The 9903-nt window shown below is 42.8% G+C and overlaps 1 annotated feature.

Annotated features, from left to right (window-relative positions):
* Positions 5694 to 5852: a silencer, noted in NCBI's record as "fragment chr16:83912211-83912369 (GRCh37/hg19 assembly coordinates)". NCBI's record gives its function as "represses an EF-1alpha promoter that drives an FKBP-Casp9 reporter gene in an ReSE screen in K562 erythroleukemia cells {active_cell/tissue: K562}" and the evidence as "EXISTENCE:reporter gene assay evidence [ECO:0000049][PMID:32094911]".

The following is a 9903-nucleotide window of genomic DNA, read 5'->3' on the forward strand; positions in this document are numbered from 1 at the left end:
GTTGTTGCTATTATAAATGAGATTGTTTTCTAAATTGGTTCTTTTGGATAGTTTGTTGTTTGTGTATAGAAACATCACTGATTGTTATACATTGATTTTGTATGCTGTAACTTTATTGAGTTGTTCATTAGTCTTGACAGTTTTTTGTTAGGTAACATAATCATGTCATCTTCAAATAGAGGTAATTTTACTTATTTCTTTCCAATTTGCGTGACTTTTCTTTTTCTTATCTAATTGCTCTAGATAGGACTTGAGTACCTGATTGAACAGAGTGGCAAGAGTGGGCATCCTTGCCTTCTACCAGATCTTAGAGGAAAAGCTTTCAATTTTTCTCCGTTGATTATGATGTTAGCTGTGGACTTTTCGTATATGGCCTTCATTGCGGAAAGGTTAAGTTTCTCCTATACCTATTTTGTTGAGAGTTTTCGTCATGAATGGATACTGAATGTTGTCAAGTATGTTTTCCGTATCTGTTGCAAAGATTATGTGTGTTTCATCTTTCATTCTGTTGATGTGGTATGTCACATTGATTGATTTGTGTATGCTTAATCATCATTGTATCCCAGAGATAAATTCTACCCAGTACCCAGTCATGGTGTATAATCCTTTTAATGTGCTGTTGAATTCAGTTTGCTAGTATTTTATTGAGGATTTTTACATCTATATTCATTAGGGATATTGGCCTGTAATTTTCTTCTCTTGTGATGTATTTGTCTGGCTTTAGTAACAGGCTGATGCTGGCCTTATAAAATGACTTTGGAAGTGTTCCCCTTCTACTTTTTTGGAAGAGTTTGAGAAGGATTGGTATTAATTCTCCATTGAATGTTTGGTAGAATTTATCCATGAAGCCATCTGGTCCTGGGCTTTTCTTTGTTGAGAGGTTTCTTGTTAGTGAATTTATTTGCTACTTGCTATTGGTCTGTTCAGATTTTCTGTTTCTTCTTAATTCAATTTTCATAAGTTTGGTATGTTTTGTATGTTTCCAGGAATGTATATATTTCTTCTAGGTTACCCAATTTGTTGGCATATAATTGTTCATAATCGTCCTTTATGATTCTTTTAATTTCTGAGGTGTGCATTGTGATGTTTCCTCTTCTATTTATGATCTTATTTATTCAAATTTTCTCTTTTTTCTTTAGTCTAGCTAAGGATTTGTCAATTTTATCCTTTAAAAAACCAACTTTTAGTCTTGTTCATTTTTTCCTATTGTTTTTCTATTCTGTATTTGATTTATTGCTGCTCTAATATTTATTTCCTCGTTTATGTTAACTTTGGGCTTAATTTGTTCTTTTTCCTTAGAGTATAAAGTTAGGTTGTTTATTTGAGGTGTTTCTTCTTTTTTAATATAGGCATTTATCACTGTAATTGTCTCTCTTAGTACTTCCTTTGCTGCATCTCATAAGTTTTGGCATATTATGCTTTCATTTTCATTTGTCTCAAAATACTTTTGAAATTCCTTCGGATCCCTCTTTGACCGAATGACTGTTCAAAAGTGTGTTGTCTAGTTTCCATATATATGTGATTCTCATTTTCCTACTGTTATTGACTTCTAGATTCATTTCATTGTAGTTGGAAAAGATAATTGGTATAATTTCAATCTTCCTCAGTCTGTTAAGACTCATTTTGTGACCTAACATGTGATCCATCCTGGAAAACATTCTGTGTGCACCTGAAAAGAATCTGTATTCTTCTATCATTGGGTGGAACATGCTGTATATGTCTGTTGGCCCATTTGGTCCATAGTGTTGCTCAAGTCAGCTGTTTCTTTATAGATTTTCACTCTGGATATTCTGTGTACCTGTGCAGGTGTACAAAAGGACAGATACAAGGATGTCCAGTGTACTATTTTTTGTGTGGTGGCAAGTTGTCAGAAGCAAGCTGTAGGTCTATCCTTAGGAGAAAAAGAAGTAAAACATGGGGTTGTACATCATGGCAGGGAGTTAGAAGGACCAGGCTAAATGAACACACAGCAATATGGATAGATTTTAAAACAGGGCTGGGCACAGCGGCTCATGCCTGTAATCCCAGCACTTTGGGAGGCCAAGACAGGCGGATCACGTGAGGTCAGGGGTTTGAGACCAGCCTGGCCAACTTGGTGAAACCCCGTCTCTACTGAAAATACAAAAATTAGCCGGGCGTGGTGGCAGGCACCTGTAATCCCAGCTACTCGGGAAGCTGAGGTAGGAGAATCGCTTGAACCCGGAAGGCGGAGTTTGCAGTGAGCTGAGATCAAGCCATCGTACTCCAGCCTAGGGGCCTAGGGGACAAGAAAGAGACTTCGTCTCAAAAAAAAAAAAAAAAAAAAAAAAAAAAAAAAAAAACCAGCAGCACAGTGAAAAATGTAGTGAGATATAATACTCCTCACGTATATAAACTATACATCACACAAAACAACAATATTTATTTTAAAAGAACACATTTTTTAAAACCCACGTTACATACATTAGAAGAGTTACCTGCTGCACTAGAGAAATAAGAATGACCTATGAGGATAAAAGGGAGTCATTCTTTTTGAATGACAGACCTTGGGTAGACCAATGATGATGATGTGTAATGAAGTGAGGAATATATTTAACCCAACCATCTCTACACAAGGTCAAAGAAGGAGGAGGAGGAGGAATAAGAGGGGGAAAGGAAGAGGAAGGAAAGGAAGCTGGTAAAGTGAAAAGTACGCCACTCATGAGTGCTACTGGATATCATTGATGCCATCACCTTGTGAAATCCAGAGCTCATCGTGAGATGGGAAGAAACCTCACAGGCACGTTGAATACCCACCTTCTGGCAAAGACTATGGAAGAGTTTGTGAACTTAAAAAAGTTACAGTTTTTTAAAGACAAATGACAAGCATTCCAATTGCTGACCTGTTCTGTAATGACAAGGAGCTCTGAGGAATATATAACCCAGAAGATACTATAATTTCAAAAGAATAAACATAGCAATCCATACCATAAAGATTCCATTTTTTATACAAACAAGAAAGTAATTGCTTTTCTAAAGAAACTCTTGCTATGGAGAGAACATTTTTGAAAAGGTTTTTATTATCTTATCACCTTTTTACCCCCCAAAAAACATTTAAATGTATCATTTATAAAAGTGCTCAAAGCTGCATGCCTAAAATCTTGGAAATGAGCTATTCTAACCATTTACAATATCTTTCAAGTAAACAGTTTTAGTGGGTTTTGAACCCACTTGTTAAAAATATCAAAAGGGAGCACCTTCCAATTAGTTTGCAAGAACAACATCAAGATTAGGAAACATGGAAATTTACTAGCCAGATGTCAACAAAAATCTGTGCATAATTGGCAGTTGGGATTGAAAAATGAATATCATTAGCTGCTTCTGCACCAAGCCTCAAGCATTTGTGTGGAATATTTTCCAGTTATGATAGACTTTCAAAGCATGTATTCAACTCTATGGAACCTGGCTAGGCACAGTGGCTCACGCCTGTAATCCCAGCACTTTGGGAGGGCAAGGATGACAGATCACTTGAGATCAGGAGTTCGAGACCAGCCTGGCCATCATGGCAAAACCTCATCTCTACTAAAAATATAAAAGCATTAGGCAGGTGTGGTGGTGCATGCCTGTAATACCAGCTACCCCAGGAGACTGAGGCTCGAGAGTTGCTTAAACCCAGGAGGCAGAGGTTGCAATGAGCCAAGATGGTGCCACTGCACTCCAGCTTGGGCAACAGAGCAAGACTCCTTCTCAAAAAACAAACTATGGAACTTTAGAGTCAGTTCCTTAAATTATAGTCTCAAAAAATGTTAAAGAGTTTAAAATATAATGAAACAAGTTCAATTCTTCACTCTGATTAAATATTTATTAACACTATTTATTGCAAATAATTTTAGTGATAACCACAAGGATTTTATACTGTTAGTACATTAATACATACAAAAATGCATTTCAAAACATTTGTTGTATCCTCTTTATCCTTTTCAATTTCTGTTTGTGTTTGCTCTATAATATACATGATGAATTTGTGCCATAGAAAATTTTTTGCTAATGAGTGAAAATGTTTTGCTGAGGGGTACAATCAAAAATGTTTGGAGACTGTATCAGTTTCCCCTTGCTGCTGTAACAAATTATTATGACCTTTGTATCTTTTTTTTTTTTTTTTGAGAGGGAGTCTCACTCTGTTGCCCAAGTGCTGTGGCGTGATCTCGGCTCACTGCAACCGCTGACTCCCCAGTTCAAGCAATTCTCCTGTCTCAGCCTCCTGAGTAACTGGAATTACAGGCATGTGCCACCACACCCAGCTAATTTTTGTATTTTTAGTAGAGATGGGGTTTCACCAAGTTGGCCAAGATGGTCTCAATCTCCTGACCTCGTGATCTGCCCGCCTCGGCCTCCCAAAGTGCTGGGATTACAGGCGTGAGCCCAGCCCCGACCTTTATATCTTAAAACAACATAGTGATTATTTCACAGTTCTAGAGGTAGGAAGTCCAACATGGCTCCCAGTGGACTGAAATCGAAGGGTCAGCAGGGTTATACTCCTGGAGGCTCCAGGAGAGAATCACTTCCTTGCCTTTCCACCCGCAGAAGCCACCGCATTCCTTGGCTCATGACCCCGCATCACTCTAATTTCTACTTACATCATCTCATCTCCTTCTCTAACTCCTGCCTTCCCCGTACAAGGACTGCTGTGGTGGCCCACCCAGAGAATCCAGGGTCATCTCCCCATCCCAGGTCCTTAAGTCAGTCACATCTGCAAAGTCCCTTTTTCCATGTCAGGTGTCATATTCACAGATTCTAGGGATTCAGATGTAGACATCGTTAGGAGGGGCATTGTACCGCCTGCTACGAAGACCTTTGGCAGAAAGAGTAAAACAGAGCCAAGGAAGAAAGTCATTGTGATCCTCAGGGTCAGATTCGGTGTGTCAGCTCCCCAGCAGGGCAGCCCCCACAAGCTCACTCTCCGGGCTGTGCTTCGAGGGGCAACTGGGCCTTATCTTCAGCTAACGCACATGGTATTTCTTTGGTCACATTTCCATCCTTTTGGCTAAAAGCAGTAGACCTTCTCTTGTGTAGGTGATAGGGTATCAAGATGGTTCTTTCTTTTTCTTTCTACTGAGTCACCTGGACCAAGGTCCAGATCTTGATTCAGGCTCTTGCTACCCTGTATGATCTGGGCAAGTTTCCTACGTCCTCTGATCCTAAGTTACCCTCTGTCTAAAATAGAGACATTAATCTAGGCTTTGCAGTGTGGTTGAGGATTAGAGGAGATAATGTACAAGTTGCTCACACAAGGAGGCTGCTGAATAAATGTCCGTTTCTTTCCCTCTTCTAGTTAAAATTTCCACCTCTTCAAGTCTGCATCCAGGGAACAAGCCTCGTCTGTAAAGATGCAGAAACATGAGGGTAAATTGAGTCTAAGAGTGAAGGCTCCTTGCAATAATTTTTCATTTCATCTGGGGATTGAGAAATGTACAGCTTCATTCATGGCTTCTTCAAGAGTGCCAAGCCCAACAATGAAAGTGAACCAACGTAGAACAAGAAGCATACTTGGGCCGGGCGCAGTGGCTCACGCCTGTAATCCCAGCACTTTGGGAGGCCGAGGCGGGCGGATCACGAGGTCAGGAGATCGAGACCATCCTGGCTAACATGGTGAAACCCCGTCTCTACTAAAAATACAAAAAATTAGCTGGGCGTGGCGGCGGGCACCTGTAGTCCCAGCTACTCGGGAGGCTGAGGCAGGAGAATGGCGTGAACCTGGGAGGCGGAGCTTGCAGTGAGCCGAGATTGCCCTACTAGACTCCAGTCTAGGCGACAGAGCGAGACTGCGACTCAAAAAAAAAAAAAAGAGAGAAGAAAAAAAAGAGGCATACTTGGCCCACAATAGTTGTCAAAATAATTTCCCCCAGACCCCTTACAGACAAAGATTGTATTAATTTAACAATATTGTGCTTTGACAAATTCCCAAATTCTTGGAACATAAACACAGTCATCAGCCAGCATTTGTTCTACAGACTGCCTTGATCCTCATCTGAGGTCTCTAAGAGGGATAGGTGGTGGGAAAACCCTTTCACAGGTGGATATCTTCGTCTCAAAAGGAAGCGTCTTCATTTTCCAGTGTTGGAATGTGGGGCTTATTAAATTCGTTTCCTGCTAAAGATTTTTCCTCTCATGCAGTAACATCCCCCTCTGCTGGAACTTGTGGATTTTGCTCCAAATATTTATTAAGAACTAGTAAAAATTAAATATGGGATGCATGTTGCCTCTAAACTGGTGGTTCTTAAACTCTCTTATGTGTAAGAATCTTCCAGGATGCTGTGAAGGGGGCCAGCCCCTCCACACCTGTGGGTATTTCTCGTCGGGTGGGACGAGATACTGAGAAAAGAATTAAGACACAGAGACAAAGTATAGAGAAAGAACAGTGGGCCCAGGGGACCGGCGCTCAGCATCCGGAGGACCTGCACCGACACCGGTCTCTGAGTTCCCTTAGCATTTACTGATTACTATTTTCACTGTCTCAGCAAGGGGAATGCGGCAGGAGAACAGGGTGATAGTGGGGAGAAGGTCAGCAAGAAAACTTTTGAGCAAAGGAATCTGTGTCACAAGTAAGTCCAAGGGAAGGTACTACGCCTGGATGTGCACGTAGGCCAGATTTATGCTTCTCTCCAGCCAAACATCTCAGTGGAGTAAAGAATAACAGAGTAGCATTGCTGCCAACATGTCTCGCCTCCCACCATAGGACAGTTTTTCTCCTATCTCAGAATTGAACAAATGTACAATCGGGTTTAATACCAAGACATTCACTTCCCAGGGGCAGGCAGGAGACAGAGGCCTTCCTCTTATCTCAACTGCAAGAGGCTTTCCTCTTTTACTAATCCTCCTCAGCACAGACCCTTCACGGGTGTCGGGCTGGGGGATGGTCAGGTCTTTCCCATCCCACGAGGCCATATCTCAGGCTATCACGTGGGGATAAACCTTGGACAATACCAGGCTTTCCTGGGCAGAGGTCCCTGTGGCTTTCCACAGTGCATCATGCCCCTGGTTTATCGAGAGTGGAGGATGGCAATGACTTTTACCAAGCATACTGCCTGTAAACATTTTATTAACAAGGCACACCCTGCACAGCCCTAGATCCCTTAAACCTTGATTCCATACAACATATGTTTCTGTGAGCTCAAGGTTGGGGCAAAGTTACAGATTAGCAGCATCTCAGGGCAAAGCAGTTGTTCGGGGTACAGGTCAAAATGGAGTTTCTAACGTCTTCCTTTTCTACATAGACACAGTAACAGTCTCATGGCTCTTTCTTTTCCCTACAATGGTGTTTGTAAAAATATATATAAAAGGAGACTTTTGTACCCATAACCGTCTTCTAAGGGGAGTTCACATCTACTTTTTTGTTGTTTTTGAGACAAAGTCTCGCCCCGTCACCCAGGCTGGAGAGCAGTGGTGCCATTTCAGCTCACTGCAAGCTTGAACCCTCCCAGGTTCAAGCGACTCTCCTCCCTCAGCCTCCTGAGTAACTGGAATTACAGACTCCTGCCACCACGCCTGCCTAATTTTTGTACTTTTAGTAGAGACGGGGTTTCACCATGTTGGCCAGGCTGGTCTCAAACTCTTGAGTTCAGGTGATCTGCCCGCTTCAGCCTCCCAGAGTGCTGGGATTACAGGAGTGAGCTAATGTGCCCAGCTCTCACTTGCGTTTTGAAAAACTTTTGGAGGATGAGAAGAAGACGGAGTAAAGCTAGAATTAGTGTACTTGGAACTGCGTCCAACTGGAGTGCCTGCTGGGTGGTACTGAGTATGGAGTACTGTCCATTCCTCTCTTAAACCGCTGAAACCATTGACCTGGAGAAAACGCCTTGTTCCTCACAAAGCTCATTATGCCGGGCCCCTCCCTCCCCAGCCTTCCGACTACAGTTCCTGGCAATGTGGCAAAACCGCATCTCTACAAAGAAATACAAAAAATTTACCACATGTGGTGGCACACACCTGTAGTCTCGTCTGCTCGAGAGGCTGAGGCAGGAGGTTTGCTTAAGCCCGGGAGCTCAAGGCTGCAGTGAGCTATGATCATTCCACTGCACTCCAGCCTGGATGATAGAGTCAGACCCTGTCTCAAAAAAAAAAAAAAAAAAAAAAAAGCAAATGAGAGTGACATGGTTTGTTTTTGTTTATTTGAGATAGAGTCTTGCTCTATTGCCCAGGCTGGAATGTAGTGGCGCAATCCCGGCTCACTTCAACCTCTGTCCCCGGGTTCAAGCGATTCTCCTGCCTCAGCCTCCCAAGTAGCTGGGATTACAGGTGTGAGGCACCACACCCAGCTAATTTTTGTATTTTTAGTAGAGATGGGGTTTCACCATGTTGGCCAGGTTGGCCTCGAACTCCTGGCCTCAAGTGATCCACCTGCCTTGGCCTCTCAAAGTGCTGGGATTACAGATGTGAGCCACTACACTTGGCCAAGAGTGATGTGGGGGTTTTTTTGTTGTTTTGTTTTGTTTTGTTTTGTTTTGTTTTGTTTTTGAGATGGAGTCTTGCTCTGTTGCCCAGGTTGGAGTGCAGTGGCGCGATCTTGGCTCACTGCAAGCTCCGCCTCCTGGGTTCACGCCATTCTCCTGCCTCAGCCTCCTGAGTAGCTGGGACTACAGGCGCCTGCCACCATACCTGGCAATTTTTTTGTATTTTTAGTAGAGACGGGGTTTCACCATGTTGGCCAGGTTGGTCTCGAACTCCTGGCATCAAGTGATCCACCTGTCTTGGCCTCTCAAAATGCTGGGATTACAGGTGTGAGCCACCACACCTGGCCAAGAATGATGTGGTTATTAACGTGGATAACTTCAAACCTATTCTTTATGGAGCTACAGTGTCCAAATCTTAAGCATACAGTTCTATGGTTTTTACATAGATACAGATCTGTGTAATCCACTCACATAAAAATAAAGAATTTTCCCAGCACCTCAGAAGGCTCCCTTCCCTGTAAATGCACACACCTCCTACAGATGCAGTCACTGTTCCGACGTTGATCATCATAGATTAGTTTTCCTTCATCTTTCCTTTCATGTCAGTGGAACACACGGTGCATAGTCTGTCTGTCTGTTTTCCTTTACTTATCATCGTGTTTATGAGATCCGTCCATGTCGTGTGTACTGGTCACTTGTTCTTTTTTATTGCTGTGTAGTAGTCCATTCAATGAACATACCGCAATTTATCATTCTCCTGTTGATGGACATTGGCTGTTCACCATTTGTGCTAGTACCTAGAAACATTCTAACGTTTGCCTTTCAGAAGTTCACTCCAATTACAAAAAAGTTTAAATCCCCTACAAACAGCCATGTGTTAACTTTTAACAGTACCCAGTTATTTGGGATAAAACTCATAACTGCTTGAAACCCAAAATGCTGGAGGCACCAGCCACTGCTGACAGCCGAGAGAGAGTGTTGAAAAGCTTTGAGCAGGAGAGTGATGCAGTGGTGTCGGATTTCACAAAAAGCATTCAGGCAGCAGCTGAACACCACCATTTCTGTGACTGAACTGATGCCCTTTCTGGGGGGCAGCCATGTGCTTTGGCCATTGAAAACACAGAGGGTGTGATGGAGAAAAGAGAATGCCCACTGTTGTTAGTTTTGCTTTTCACTCCTGCCATCTCTCATTCCATTTGGAGAAAGCCTACAGCTGAAATTAAACTTTCAGCTCTAGGGGCAAATCTGTTTCTCCTTGTCCTGCGTCTGTCAGAAATGATATCCATTCCGCAGACTAATGTCCCTGTACCATGGTGCAAGCACTTCCCTGCCAGCTCCAAAGCCGGGCACCAGGGAGAGCACAGGGCACTGAGTTCTTGCTGTCCACACCCTGTGCAGATGACCAGGGATCAGCCACCTGCCGCTGTCTCCCAAGAAGAGAAGACAGAGCAATGATGGTTTCATCAAAGCCCCTGAAAGGGTGGGCAAAGCTGGC

The sequence above is a fragment of the Homo sapiens genome, chromosome 16 (genome assembly GCF_000001405.40).
Source record: "Homo sapiens chromosome 16, GRCh38.p14 Primary Assembly".
NCBI lineage: Eukaryota > Metazoa > Chordata > Mammalia > Primates > Hominidae > Homo > Homo sapiens.